This window comes from Homo sapiens, chromosome 15 (genome assembly GCF_000001405.40).
Source record: "Homo sapiens chromosome 15, GRCh38.p14 Primary Assembly".
In the NCBI taxonomy this organism is placed as follows: domain Eukaryota; kingdom Metazoa; phylum Chordata; class Mammalia; order Primates; family Hominidae; genus Homo; species Homo sapiens.
Genome location: NC_000015.10, coordinates 35,542,265 through 35,557,185, shown reverse-complemented (window position 1 = coordinate 35,557,185; position 14,921 = coordinate 35,542,265). Strand labels below are relative to the sequence as shown.

The 14,921-nt window shown below is 39.1% G+C and overlaps 1 protein-coding gene and 1 long non-coding RNA gene across 13 annotated transcripts in view, besides 6 other annotated features; one reads left to right on the top strand and one right to left on the bottom strand.

Annotated features, from left to right (window-relative positions):
* The window catches only part of DPH6-DT (DPH6 divergent transcript), a 312,807-nt gene extending 301,816 nt beyond the window's left edge, over nt 1-10,991 (bottom strand). The window contains exon 1 of the long non-coding RNA NR_038251.1: nt 10,713-10,991. This is a non-coding gene — a long non-coding RNA (DPH6 divergent transcript). The remainder of the gene's footprint in view (nt 1-10,712) is intronic.
* Nucleotides 8,279-9,035: an enhancer, noted in NCBI's record as "OCT4-NANOG-H3K27ac hESC enhancer chr15:35840352-35841108 (GRCh37/hg19 assembly coordinates)". NCBI's record gives its function as "activates a minimal SCP1, AML or CMV promoter by ChIP-STARR-seq in naive and primed H9 embryonic stem cells {active_cell/tissue: H9 hESC(naive and primed)}" and the evidence as "EXISTENCE:reporter gene assay evidence [ECO:0000049][PMID:30033119]".
* Nucleotides 8,279-9,098: a biological region, named in NCBI's record as "Sharpr-MPRA regulatory region 8232".
* Nucleotides 8,804-9,098: an enhancer, noted in NCBI's record as "tiled region #8232; HepG2 Activating non-DNase unmatched - State 24:Quies, and K562 Activating non-DNase unmatched - State 1:Tss". NCBI's record gives its function as "activates a minimal TATA promoter and a strong SV40 promoter by Sharpr-MPRA in HepG2 and K562 cells {active_cell/tissue: HepG2 | K562}" and the evidence as "EXISTENCE:reporter gene assay evidence [ECO:0000049][PMID:27701403]".
* Nucleotides 10,549-10,598: a silencer, noted in NCBI's record as "silent region_6293". NCBI's record gives its function as "represses an Ori minimal core promoter by ATAC-STARR-seq in GM12878 lymphoblastoid cells {active_cell/tissue: GM12878}" and the evidence as "EXISTENCE:reporter gene assay evidence [ECO:0000049][PMID:35858748]".
* Nucleotides 10,899-11,038: a silencer, noted in NCBI's record as "silent region_6292". NCBI's record gives its function as "represses an Ori minimal core promoter by ATAC-STARR-seq in GM12878 lymphoblastoid cells {active_cell/tissue: GM12878}" and the evidence as "EXISTENCE:reporter gene assay evidence [ECO:0000049][PMID:35858748]".
* The window catches only part of DPH6 (diphthamine biosynthesis 6), a 401,189-nt gene continuing 397,288 nt past the window's right edge, over nt 11,021-14,921 (top strand). For all 12 annotated transcript variants that reach the window (XR_001751412.3, XR_007064493.1, XR_001751413.3 and 9 more), the window contains exons 1-2: nt 11,021-11,067; nt 14,679-14,773. Coding sequence is in view for 8 of the 12 variants with exons in the window: in XM_047433263.1 (XP_047289219.1) it covers nt 11,045-11,067; nt 14,679-14,773 (118 nt within the window). In the remaining 4 variants the exon portion in view is untranslated. The remainder of the gene's footprint in view (nt 11,068-14,678; nt 14,774-14,921) is intronic.
* Nucleotides 11,086-12,020: an enhancer, noted in NCBI's record as "NANOG-H3K27ac-H3K4me1 hESC enhancer chr15:35837367-35838301 (GRCh37/hg19 assembly coordinates)". NCBI's record gives its function as "activates a minimal SCP1, AML or CMV promoter by ChIP-STARR-seq in naive H9 embryonic stem cells {active_cell/tissue: H9 hESC(naive)}" and the evidence as "EXISTENCE:reporter gene assay evidence [ECO:0000049][PMID:30033119]".

Here is a 14,921-nt window from a genome sequence, read left to right as displayed (position 1 = left end):
AAAAGCTCCCTTACCGTCTAACTTTGTGTGGGATTCAGCCAGCGGGACGCACTGGCAGGAGATGGCAGTGTGGATGAAGAAGAGATGAGTCTACTTCTTCACTCGTGATTTCCCTTTCTTGGTGCACTATTGTGGTGGTGGCTGTATTCCCCCTATTACTAGAGCTCCTATTGACTGACCCCATTTTCTATTACCCCAGCCTCTGAAAAGATCTAATGATACCATTTTCTCTCCCTGCTTATTCAGACCTATTGATGCTATTGCTTTCCTATGTTGCTAGTTTGTGGAAATTTCAACATTCCTGATAATTCCTTAGTTTCCCACAGCACTATGAAAAGTCCCTTCATTCAATATCTTTCAAATCTGTCTCCTGCCACTAGACTGACTGGTACAATAGAACTGGACATTCTTTGCTTTCATGAAACTGACAATATACTCAAGAATACAGACATTTAATAAATTATAACCACAAAGTGTAACGTGCTATGGCACCAGATAAAAGGGTATCTTACCCAGCCTGAGATAACTGAAGAAAGTTTGTTGTGTGAGATATTAATGATCATACATCTGAAAGTAGAGAGGCAAGTATGTGTTTATTTATGTTTTGGCAAATAGGGTCCTCTGTGTCTTTGCATCAAGAAGTCTGTGAACTAAAACATTAAAAAGAAAAAATGTGCGATGTATTTTATCTGTGAGGATAAGGTAAATTTTGCCTAATTCAATTTTACAGTTAATTCTCCTTTACAGTTTGCCTAATTCAATTTCACAGTTAATTCTCTCCTAACACCCTTAGAAGCCACTTCTACACATGCTTGCTAGGTTGCTGCCCATACAAACTGGCAAGACTCTTTAGTCCCTGAGATAACTCAGCGACCTCTAAAGTCTCAGTGGTTTGCAACAAAAAAGGTTTACTTTTGTATAACTGCTAAACACAATAAAATTTTAATCTATCTGGTTCCACCAAAAAGGCAAAGCCAATGAATAGAAATTTTACTGATGAAATGAAAGCTCAAAGTGATTGTAATTAAAATGTTTAATCAAATTCTAACATATTACTATAATTGCAATAAAATTTTCAAAGTTTAAATTCTCTTTTTATAGGCTGGTTTTTTAAGTTCTTCTTGCAAATTGCTCTACTTCAGAGGAAAATGGGTTTTCCACTTAAATAAAGTAATTTATTCAACTATTCCTGTTGCCATTGAGTTGCCACTTAGAATTTAGTTTGTTGGACTTTTGAATACATCTAATTACTCAGAAATAGCAGCTGAGTAGAGAAGGCTAAAGAGAGAATGAATAGAGAAGGCTATTCATGAGCTTTTACCAGAGCCATGAGATATTGCTATGAATGATTGCAGGCTATATATGTTCTATGATGAAAAAAAATGACAGATGGGCATGATGTTCATGATGCTTCCAATATTTTCAAAGCTGTAGCCGACCAGTTTCAAATGATTGATTTAGAGTCCAGAACATTTATATGTTTGGACAATATTTGAGGAATAAAAATAGGTGTAACATTGGGCCTGATGTCATCATATTTTAAGCTCATTTTACAGAGAAGTTCTTGATGAAGAGAAATCAGTGGTTGAATATGTATGTATGTATTCCCTACTTTTCTTGCAAAATGTTCTTTTCCAACGAGATTCTCAAAGGAAGGCTTTTTTTTTCTTTTTTAATGGATTATTATTACAGTGCTAGAAATTCAGAATGTGAGAGCATATGCCATTTCTTTTTAAAAATTGCAGGGTAGACAGTTTTATGATCCTGAAATTTATAATCCAGCTTGAATGTCAGGAAACCTGGGTTCTAGTCCCAGTGCTGCCACTAACATCCTGTGTAGCCAAGCACTAATTAACTGATATATCTGTGTTTCTGTTCTTTCATTTGTAAATTGAAAAGAAAATATTTTCTTCAATCTACTTCACAGGAATATTAGGAAAAACAAAACAAAACTTGTTAAAGCACTGGTAGCTTTTCAAAAAAAAGATGATCTGTAAATCCAACTTACAATTACACAACACTATATATCCCACCAGACCTCAGACATCTTCTTAAATCAGATGAACAGTGAGTTAAATTATTTAAAAAGACTCTAGAAAAAAACTTTTCAGGTAGGAATACTAAAAATATCAATTTATCATTTTTAAATACTCTAAAGTTATTCTACGATGCAATACTATAGAAAAGATATCTGGCAATGGAAACTGGAATTGGATGCAGAAAGTCTTATATTCAATACACTAAGTGACAATGAAATTCAAAAAGATCTTCACCATCCATCTCCAAACTACTGAGACACCTTAACAGTAGAATGTATAGGACTCTGGCTACTAATTGGGGGAAGAAAGTGAACGAAGGAAAGTTAACAATTACTTTAGAGACCAGATTGGTGGAGGGTGATGTCCTTAAAAAACAAGAAATTGGTGGAAGAATGAATTGGGGTGACAAGGGCAGGAAGGTGGCGTGATGAGATATTGACCTCAGTTTTGAATGCACTGGACAGGCATGTGTCCAGTGTTCTTTAAGTTATATTACAGTCATATTTTGGAGGTGCTTTACCATGTTAGCTAGAATTTAGAGACCCTAATATGTTTAATAAAGACTTCAAAAAATCTATATTCTTCACTATACAATAGTTAAACTGAATGAGATAAATCTATACGGAGTGGTACTACAGAATAATGTCCTAGATATATGTGGAAAAACAAAGTACAGAACAGTGAATATAGTATGCTCCCCTCAGTAGAAAATAAAAGTGATATATGCTTATATATTCATAAACTCATCCTGGAAAGATACAGAAAAATGGGTAATGTGCTGCCTCACAGGAAGAGACCTGGGGGACTGAAGTTCTAAGGCGGGAAAAGACTAATTTTATTCCTTGCTCTGAAATCTACATTGTCTGATATGCATATAGCCACTCTAGCTTTCTTTTGAGTAGTATTTGCATAGTATTTATCTTTTTTTCTATCCTTTTACTTTTAATCTGCCTGTGTCTTGATATTTAAAGTGAGTTTCTTATAGACAGGGTATGGTTGGAACTTCCTTTCTTGTTCAGTGTTTCAATATGAATTTTAAGTGTTAAGATATTTACATTTAATGTGATTATTGATGTTGGGTTTAAATCTATCATCTTGGTATTTGTTTTTTGTCTCGGTTTTTCTTCCTCTTTTTTTCTGACTTCTTTTAGGCTATTTTTATATGATTCCATATAAATCGCCTTTTTGATTTTGATATAGTTACATATAAATGTCCTTTTTGAGTATTTTCATTTTCATTTATTTATTTCTGAGACAGGGTCTTGCTCTGTCACCCAGGCTGGAGTTCAGTGGCACGATCTTGGCTCACTGCAACCTGGGTTCAAGCAGTTCTTTCTGCCTCAGCCTCCTGAGTAGCTGGGTTTACAGGCACATGCCACCATGCCTGGCTAATTTTTGTATTTTCAGTAGAGACGGGGTTTACCCATGTTGGCCAGGCTGATCTTGAACCCATGACTTCAGGTGATCCACCCACTTTGGCCTCCCAAAGTACTGGGATTACAGGCATGAGCCACCATGCCTGGCCCTTTTTGAGTATTTTTATACGATTCCATATAATCTTTCCTTTATTTCCTTTATGACTTATTAATGATAACTCATTGTTTTTTAATTTTTTGTTTGCTTCAGAATTTGCATATGACAGCTGCTATGATCAGTGTATTTATATATATTTAATCCTCATCTAATTAGGAGGTATAAGTAACCCTATTGTACAGATGAAGAAAAAACATCTTGCTGAAATTACAAGTTAATGTCTCAGAAACAGAATTCAAACTCAGATTTGTCTGACTCCAAAACGTACTTTGTAGTACTAGGGATATACTGGAAAAGCCCTTCAGCCTTTTATATAGTCAATTGTCTGTAAAAAGGACACAGTCCAAACAATGAACTGTTAACATATTTTACATTATTGAATATATACATGGAGACTGTAAAGAGGTAAAAGCTCTAAAAATAATGGATTCACAGAACTTGAAAATAAAGTCAAGACTGTGGTCTCTCTCTGAAACTGAATAGAGTAAAACAGACGATGAAGAAATGAGCTATTTGCAGAGGTAATAACTTACCCTTAAGGTAAAATTTCAAATATCTTTTTTTTTTTTTTTTTTGAGACAGAGTCTTGCTTTGTCACCCAGGCTGGAGTGCTGTGGCACAACCATAGCTCACTGCAGCCTTGACCTCCTGAACTCAAGCAATCTTCCCACTTCACCCTCCCAAGTAGCTGGAACTACAGGCACATGCCACCACATGTCGCTAATGTTTTTTTTTTTTTGGTAGAGACAGGGTCTCACTGTGTTGCCCAGGCAGGTCTCAAACTCCTAGGCTCAAGCAATCCTCCCACCTTGGCCTCCCAAAGTGCTGGGATTATAGGCATAAGCCACCATTCCTGGCCTTAAAATATCTGATAACATTGGATCCACATTTGCACAGAGCAGCTGGAGCCAAGTGACGAGTGAGTAGTGGTTTGCCACAGTTCTCGCCATTTCAAATTGTCTTATACCAAGCCATCTCCCTCACTTATGTTATCTGCCTACTTCCTAAAGCTTTTGAATTTGTCATTATCCATTATGGAATAAAGAAAAAGATTTCTAAAAGAGATAGAATGACTCTCAGGTCTATAATGTTTAGCAATTATCCCATATATCGATTCATGTAATACAACACAACAATTTGAGTCTTTCACAAAAAAAGAGTTGATCAGCTTGGAAGTACAGAAAAAGGAGATTTAAGAGGTCAGTGATGGTAATTCCCTTCCAAACATATCTTAGGATATTTAGTCAAAATAACCAGCTGTCCATTTCAATGGAAGATATAGTATAGCGGTTAAGAGCTAGACTGCCTAGGTTTGAATACTGGTACTGGCACTTACTAGCTTTAGGATTTTTGGCAGTCCATTTAACGTCTTTGTGCACAGTTTCCTCATGTGCAAATGAGGATAATAATATATCCTACTTCATAAATTTGCTGTGGCATTTAAAAGAGTGACTGGCCCATGGTAAGCTGTAATTATTAATATAAATACATCAGATACTCATAACCTGATGCCCTAAAATTTATGACCCAAATAACCACTTAATTCCTTTTTTCTTAAATCCTTACCAGGCAACTTCTGATGGCTTCCTGTATGGCATGACTTTAAGCAGAATGAATTTAAATCCTTTCAAGGTTTCTGAGGAGTAACCACCTGTAGCATTCTTGATTTGATTATCTGAGTCTTTATCAATCAGTATATCGAGATGTGCTGCCAAGAAAGCAGAATTCAGTGACAGCTTGCAGCTTTTATTACCAGCAACAGTGTTTGGCTATGGAGAGTTTTCCTTAAGTAAATTGGCAAAGGATGGAGGTTTTTTGAGGCTGATTTTCTGTTCACCTATTTTGCTGGCCCTACAAGCTAATCCATAGTTACTCATATGTAACAGTCTCAGACTGTAGGAAGTAAGCTCACAATGCCTTTGAAAAGTGAATCTTGAGCAAGTCATTTTAATATATTGCAAAAAGAATTACTTTAGACTGCACTAATCAAAAGAAAAAAGTCTTTTAATTTATTGACATTTACTGGGCTGAAGTTGCCTTTACACTATCCATGTGGAAAATTATGAATGTAGGGGTCTTGGTAAATGAACTGTCCTTAAAATTTGAGCAAATTACATGTAGGCAAATAAATACTACTAGTTAAAAATGTTTCCTCTATTAACTTATAGTAAAACCCTTAGCCAGGATTCAATATCAGTATGTTAGTATGCTCAAGATTAGAATATTTGTTTGGAAGTAAATTAAGGCATTTCCTTAAAAACAGTATTGTTTATAATTTAGACTTTCACAAATTTAGGTAGGTTCTCCTTCAAGTACTATTCTAAGTTTGAATAACTCTTTATTCTACATTTCTTACTCCAGCAGGGCGCTGCAAATGTTCCCGCTCCTCATATGATTTTGTGAGAGTCACTGTCTTGCTCTGGCAGCCTTACAAGTGTTCCACTCAGATCTCTCCTCAAAAGCACCTGCTGTGGAGAGCGCAGCTGACTGACAGCCTTCAGCTGCCACACCTTTGGATCCACTGTGGAGTTCGTGATAAGCCACGCTTCCCCTGGCTGCTTCCAGGCTTTGATTGAGCAGGTACTAGAACCTGGCCTTTCCTGTCTGCAAAGATTTAGCTGGCACCACTAGCAGAATGCCTCTCTAGTCACAGAATCCCACCTAGCAGAGCATCCACAAGAAAACTTACTTTATAGAAAAGGAGGTACAGGAATAGGCCATGTCCATGAGGTCTAATTGTTTTATCATATACTGCACTATTTAGGTGAAGTTGGCCTCATAGAGTACTGGAAAAGCCTACTTAAGTCACAGCGAAATCAGCAGCTCAGAGACAATAATCTGCAAGGATGGCATGACATCTCTCAGTATTTAGTATAGGCACTAATCAGAGATTTCTACATGGCACTGTGTCTCTAGTACGGCAAATACATGGATCTAGGAACCAAAAGGTGAAATCACAAATGGCTTTATTTAAAATCACTCCTAATAACCCACTGGAGAACTCTGTGCTTCACTTTCCCCAACTCTGGGTTGAGTAGAATTACAGGTTTTCTCTCTTGCAAAGGGGTAGAGCGGGAATCCATTGAACTATAAGCTATGTATAGCACGACACTTTTGGCTCTTTGCAGCCAGGGGCCAGCAAGCAAGGATAATTGATTAGTATGAGGAGGTGGGGCCACCTTTACACCTTGGGGACAGGGAGAAATACACATGTGAAACTCAGATGATCCACTTGGGTGCCTCTTGGTATGCCCTTACCTAGTTCTAACTGTGAATGGACACAAACTGCAGTCACGGACTGAGAAGAGTATGATGACAAAAGCCCAAGACCACTTAGGAGTGAATGTTTAGGTCATGCCACCAAGTAAGTCAACAAGATCTGCTGAAGTGAGAGCTGAGAGTGATGGGAATATAGAGTGGATAGTGTAGGACAGGGTAAGTACTAGTGTGGTCCCAGACCACCTGTGATGATAGTTTGTCCTATTAACTTCCCTTTCCTAAGTTTTTAGAGAGGTTTACAGAAATCATGAAGCGACACCATGAATGTTATTATGAATTGATTTACAGTCTCCGCCTACTGCACTTTTGGATTCACCACTGAGTTTGCACCGGACTAAGTTTTTCCTGCACTGCTCTCAGACAGTTACTGAGCACAGCAGATCCTGACCAATTTGGAATTCCTCTAATGAACAACTTTGGCTTAGGACTCCCCATTGACCTGGCTGAGTCTCTCAGAATGACATTACAAACAGGTTCTTTCAACCTATTCTTCCTTCCCATTCTGCTTTTTCAGATTTCGACTCCCCTGCATTCCAATCGGAGTCTCCCTGCCTTCTCTTGCTGGTCTCCCTTTGTCCTTCACAGGCATTTTCTCTTATCTCCTGCACATGTAATCCCGTCTTGGCATCTGCTTCTCAGAAACCTGTAATTGACAAACTGGGTGTTGCTTTTAAATTTCGGCAAAAGAAAATGACACCCACAAAGGTGACTACAATGAATTAAGAAAGATTCTCAATGGGAAAAGTTAGAGCATGGCCTAATCTCTAGTTTTTAACAAGTTTTTCAGGGGTCAATAATTAATCTGGTTTTGTTCAGTTAGCTATAAAAAAAAAGAACTTCAAAAATATGTATGACTCTAAGAATAACTTTGATGGCTGGGTCAAGACCAATCTGACATATATTAATTTCGGAAATACCAATATGTCTATTGAACCAAAATGAATTGAACCTACCATTTTTATGGTGGCCTTGATAGGACATTCAAGCACAGAGCCTTGTGTGGTAATGCTGAGAGAAAGGCACTAATGTGAGGAAATATAAAAATTTTTAAGAAAATACACGTTGCAGTGTTACATTAGGCAACCAGAAACATTCATTAATTTAAATAATTCTGGTAGAAAGTTTTAAAAGGAGGGAATAGGTGCTGAGAGAAATTTTGTTCAAGGGGTCAAAAGGACCTGGAGGAGAGATACCACAGGTGCTAGAAAGAATCGAGTGGGGAAAGCAACACCATCAAGCTAAAAACTGGGTGACCTTGGAGAACGGCCTCAACATATTTCCTAACATACAGTTTAATGCCAGGATATACACACTGTAATAAACCTGTTTGTTGAGGATGTCTTAAAATGAAGCCTACAGAGCGCAAAGAGAAACAAAAAAATAATCCTAAAGATGTAGTTTTAGGAAGGTAGCCTTAGAATCTTCTCTCTTTATCCCTCCTGGGAAGTGGCAAGGAAAAGATATCCCTTGGTGGAAAAGATAATCCATTGGCATCTTTGGGAGTGCCTATTTTATCAAAATCATTCATCATGTTCATTACTGCTATTTCACACAATCTCCTGAAAAATGATGTCAAGTAGCCACAGTAACCTGCCTTATTTTGAAATTCCTCATTTTGGTTTTCCATGACCCTGGATAAACTGGCCTCATCCTATTTATTCAACTTATTTTTTCTTCTTTCCCATATACCTTCCAAATTAGTCAAGCTAGTCTACCCCCTGTTGTTCAACACACCACGCTCATTCTTGCCTTGCTTTGTTTGGAAGTTCCGCCCATTCCTGTTCAATTCTACTCATCTTTCAAGTCCCATCCTCATTCCAGCCATTACCCTGTGAGTTTGACTCATGGGACTCTTGCCATACACATTACATAACTTGTTACTTTCAAAATGTGTTATCTTGGATTACTGTTATAGGATTTATTAAAAAAATAATTTTAGGCAGATAGGAAAAGGGGTCCTTGGAAAGTTTTTGTCTCTTTTAAAGCAGCTCCAGAAATGTTTCTTGTCTAGCAGGAAAGCCCCTGCTCTTAGAGCCCGGCTGGCGACCTTTGATATGCAAATGCAGGCCATTAGAAACTGGGTCCACACAAACATGGCGATAGCCACCGCTGTCCTCTTGCCCTTGCCCCTGTATGTGTCTGGCAACATGGCCATCCCCACATATCGCCACACGTGTAGAACATCAAGGCGACCTGCATTTGCATATTAAAAGGCTAGGGTGGGAGAGCCAGGTTTTTCGTGGGCTATGTGAATGACATGCCTGGTCAAACCAATCCCCTGAGCCCTATGCAAATCTGACACCGCCTCTTCCAGTCTCCTCATATAACTGCCTGTTAACCCCAGCACTGGGGGTTTCCTCTCTAGGCTTTGGAGCCCACTTCCATGTGTCTCTACAGGGGAGCTTCTTCCTTTCTTCACCCTTCTTTCTTGCCTATTAAATTCTCCACCCCTTAAAACCACTCCATGTGTGTCTGTGTCATTTTACCCAATTCGGCATGAGACGAGAGCCCTGGTGCTTCTTCCACTCATTGGAGCTGTATCATTTTAAGTGTGTTTCACGTATTTATCTCCTCCAATTAGACTGCAAACTTCTTAAATACTTGACTCATTTGGTAAATATTCATAACTGCAAAATCTTAAAGCTGTATGATTCTAGACGCTAAAACTGATATGTAGACTGTCACTGCTCTAGTCACCCCTACTATTAGAGTTGAGAATGTCAAAATAAAATTGAATGCTTACTATGTACCTGGCATAATTTTAAGTTCCCTACATATATTAACTTACTTAATTCATGCCTTTGGCATCATCCCTCATGACTTTCTTTCTCTTGTATCCCATATCGAATTTGATTCTATTGGCTCTATCTTCAAAATAGAGCTGGAATCCTCTTACTTCTCACCAAATTCACCATGTTGATTCTAGGCTCCGCCATCTCTCTACTGGAACACTGTAACAGCTTCCTAATAGGTGGATTCTCAACACTGCAATCCTTTTAAAATTTTAAGTCACACCCTTCAAAAGTCTGCAATTACCTACAAGACCCTATATAATCCTTCCCCTCCATCACCTTAACCTGCTCTCCACTACTCTCTGCTTTGCTCAATCTGCTCCAGCAACACGGATCTGCCTTAATCTTCCACAAACACACAACGCACCTAGAGCCTTCGATTTTTTTTTCTTGTCTGGAGCACACCCCAATCATACACATAGCGAACTCTCCTTATTTAAATTGGCTCAACTCTCATCTTACCAATAAGGCCTACATAGACACGATTTAATTCTGCAATTTGCCTCTCCACCTCTCTCCTGACTCTCCCCCACCGCACCCCGCCCCTTTCCAATAGCACTTTTCACTCTTCAACAGACTATTTACCTTTAAGATATGTATTGTCTGTTCTCTCCATCCCCATTTAAGCTCTATGCCCGGAATGCCGGGTTTTTGTTTTATTTACGGTTGTATCCACAGAGTCTAAAACAGTGCCTGGTACACGAAAGGCACTCAATACATACTTGGCAAATAAACTTAGAAGCTAGATTTTCTTTCTGCAAGGCCATTGCTCTTTGGTGAAGAGCCTGGCCTGGCCTTGTCAAATACACAAGCTTGACCAAGAGCCAAAGCCACAGAGGGCCTAGAGGTGGGGGGGGCTAGCCCCAGATTTAAAAATTACCACAGCCCCTGGGGATCTGAGTTTCACATCTGGACACACAGGTTTGGAGGACAGAGGAGATGTAAGTTAAAAAGCAGAAGTGTACAGTTGTTTCTGTTCTGTGGGGTGAGGAAGGACAAATTTCTTCTGCGCTTGCACGTCCGCAACTGTGTCAATTTGCAGCAATTGGGACGCTAAATCCCCTCTTACCAAAACAAATCCTGCGCCACTGGGCTTGGGCTCTGCAACGCGGACCTTGCCCTTCCCCCGGCAGCTTCAGTGCCCTCACTTAGGTGGTTAGGCCGTGCCTAAACCTCATTCTTTCCTGGGCCGAGATGTCCCTGCCACAGGGTCAAGGTGCCAAGGTGCCGCACCCTCCGCGCTCAGGTGTCCCGCAGGCAGCCGCGGGGCTCGCAGCGCCGATCCGCGGACAGGCGGCGGAGCGAACACCCGGGCGAGGCCCCGCGGTGCGTCACGCGAGCTGCGGCGCGACCTCCTGGCTCCCGCCCGCGCTCGCCGCACGCACGCGCACTGCGCCCAGCATGAGGGTCGCGGCTCTGATCAGGTAATGCGGTCCTGGAGCCGCCTCCTTCCTCCTAGGCCAGGCTCTCGTCCCTTCCAGCCGCCGCTAGCGCCGAAAGAGTGGGTGTCTCCGTCTGAGTCGCGCGTTGGGGGTTCCGCGGCTCCTCCGAGCCACAGGAAGAGGCGGAGCCTTCGCTGTTGCCGGCCCGCATGTGCCTCGGCCCCTGGCTGGCGCGCCTCCTCCCTGTCTGTCGCTCTCTGGTCTTCTAGCCCTTAAACTTGGATTCCCATTGGATTCAAGTGGGAAATTAAAAAAAGTACCGACGCCTGGGCCCCACCGCCAGAGGGATTGGTTTAATTACTTCTGTGCGACCCGGCGTCTGATTTTTTTTTTTCAAGCTCTAATGAGCCGTGAAGTTTGGAGCCACTACCTTATTCCATCAACTCAGTTAATAACCCTCGCCCTTTCCCCCTCGCTTTCTTCGTCCTCTTCTGTAGTTCCTTTGGTCAGCTGGGTCCGCCGCAGCCTGGCTTCCTCCCTAGTTGTAAGTGTTTCCGCCCATCCCAAGAAGTCCACCCCTCCCTCATCTTCACAGATGTGGATTGCTTATGGCATGTGTGTGTTTCTGCCTTTGGGCACTCAAGTACAGAGATCTCTCTTCGTGGTAGAGACCGAATTGTACTAGTCTTATGCTAGATCCAGTTGCTGTTGCTTCGGACTCTCATCATTGCTTTAGAGTGACCTTACCCTATACTCCGTATTCCAAAAGGAGTTTGATGTCTGTAGTAACCAAATCATAAATTTAAGTGTCTAAATAAGTCCTGTGACTGACAAACCAAAAACAAACCTGCTTAAATATTTCCATACTCAATCTATAAACTGAGGCAGAAGGGAACACACTAGCAACATTAAAAAGTTAGACTACTTAAATACTTGTTTCATGAGATTTTGCCCTGTAGAGTGTCTTAGATACAGTGCAACGATGTGCTTGCTTTTGTAATCCAATTGAAGATTTCATAAACGTTTTCGTTAAGTCCCTTAGGTAATTGATACTGGCTGTAAGTTTTGACCTATTAAGGACTTGATATGAGATTTCAGACCTACTGTAGTGTCTGGAATATTCCGGTTCCCTTTCCTTCAATGTCATTTTTAGGAGACTAGACCATAATGTCACAATAATTATTGTTGTTCAGTAAATGTCCTCTGTAACATAAATGATTAAGCTTTAACCATTGTGTCTTATTTTAAGAATTAAAAGTACCCCAGGAAGTGAATAATTCAAATTTACATCGCTTGCCAAAAGTTTAACGATTAAAGTAAAGCACAACAAACAAAGACTTAGAAGTATTGGAGGGGAGGAGAGAAGATTGGTAGAGTCAGTTACACTAAATAACCTGTAATGTGCATATGTTGCTTTATAATAAAAAAAGTTTGCTAAAAAAGCAATGTTGGAAAATTCTTGCTGAAGCGTAAGAGCTGTAAGGACATATGCTGTAAGTATGAATACGTAAGCATTTACCTGTATGCTTATGATACAGATGCCTATGTATTCTATATATATGCATTATATATAATTATGTATTATAAGTGAATAAGTGAAACTGGGATTCTTACATATCTTTCTAAGAAGATTATTTTCCTTTTTTAAATTTTTTTTTTATTATACTTTAAGTTCTGGGTTACATGTGCAGAACGTGCAGTTTTTTTACATAGGTATACATGTGCCACGGTGGTTTGCTGCACCCATCAACCCATCACCTACATTAGGTATTTCTCCTAATGTTATCCCTCCCCTAACCCCCAAACCCCCACAGGCCCCAGTGTGTGATGTGCCCCTCCCTGTGTCCATATGCTCTCATAGAACATTATTTTTCTAATAAATAAATGAGTCTTTGAATTTTATAGTTGAATGTTATTTTGAGGATTATCCAGGCAGACCATTCATTAATTTGCAATGAAGTATGCAAACCTAAGCACATTGAATAACTTAGCTTAGTATCCCAGAGTTGGAAACTAAAATAGAGCTGTGAGACCTCTCACCTAACATACATGTGTACTTAATGGAGTTCTAAGAGGACAGTAAGGTACTCTGCATTTCCCAAGCTTGTCTGATATTCAAAACCTTTTGTTAGAGTAATTGGTTAGTATTTTGTTGGACACCAGTGTTCCACAGAACACAGTTTGGTAAATACTGCTTAAAACCATATTTGAAATGTTGGCATATTTCAAAATAAATTGTCAGACTCAGTTCTGATTCTGGATGCACACCCTTCAGTCTTTAATATCTGAAACAATTAGTCATATCTTTTTATCCTGGGGAATCAGAGCAGTAAGGTTCGATATGGGAAGTTGTGGAAGACCTACTTATGGGGATACCGAACCTGAAGAGAGGAAGAATGGACTTTTTAAAACTTCACTTTGGCCCTTGTGCTCTCCTTCCACTTGAGAAGTTTTGGAATGAGAGTTGTTATTGATGGGAGGGTGGAAGAGGCAGAAATGTTGAAAACTAAGATAAAAGGCAACAAGGCCAGTTTCTGAGGTGCTCAGTTTCTTGAGCTATGAAGAGGTCTAAACATTGCCTGGGGATTTGCAGGCCTTAAGCAAATATTGGAAAGAAGGGAAACAGGAGGAAAAAGAAATGTAAAAGGGAGAGAGGCAATGATAAATGATAGTGGGAATTAGGAGAATATTAAATTACAATAGCATATAGATTGCCATTCAGCCATATTATAGATGAGCTACTGCTTGTCTTTACTAAGTGATATGCGTCTGCCTTAGGTAGATTTAGAACCAGAATTTAGAAGTTCCTTTCAATGTGTTACTACATTTATAGCTCAAGCCTAGTTCTGCTGCCATCATATATATATATATATATATATATATATATATATATATATATATTATGTGTATGTGTGTACTATATGTATGTGTAGAGATGGCTGAAGTGCTGATAGTGCTGATGTTTCACGTCATCAGTGTAAGTCAGCATCTTGTTTTTTATCTCTGCAGAATTTGAACCCACCAAGTGTGTCAAACTTTGTCATTAGCTAGGTACTCAAATCTTTAATTTGATCCTTTAATTGCTGATGGTAGCCATTTGTTAGATTTCTTATGGTGGAGCAGAATTTGTTTTTTTTTTTACTTTCTCATAGAGAATAGTTTTTTTTTTCCCAATAATTTCTATGAAATTATTTTATATATATATATATATATATTCCTTAAGTGGAATAATATATATTATATATATTCCTTAAGTGGAATAATATATATTATTATATATATTCCTTAGGTAGAATATATATATTTCATATATAATTATATAATAAATGTTTAGCTGGGATGTAAATTGAAATCATTTTCTATTTGCAAATCACTTCAAATATATTTGCTATCACAAAGCAAAAAGTTACCATATTTTGTTTAGAATATTCTTATATATATATAGTTTCTTAAGCTCCTGTGAGTAGCAGCCCTAGACATTCAGATTCGGTTGCTCAGTTTGTTTATGATTTAGAAATTAATGGGTTTTTTTTGCATTGTAATATATTCTGAAGAGTCAAGTAAATGATATGTTCTGTTTTGATATCTAGTGATTTTATGTTGAATAATGGTCAGTAGCATGATATTTGTCCCTCTCTTGATTTATTGTTTAGTGGTGGGAAGGACAGCTGCTATAATATGATGCAGTGCATTGCTGCTGGGCATCAGATCGTTGCTTTAGCAAATCTAAGACCAGCTGAAAACCAAGGTAAGTACATGCCTTTATTGGGAAGTTGCCTAAATGAATGAAATTCCAACTTCATAATTACATTGTACAGGTATACCGTACAAAGATGAAAAAAAAAGAACCAATAAATATTAAGCACCCATTAGATGCTAGTTTCCACCTAGAACTT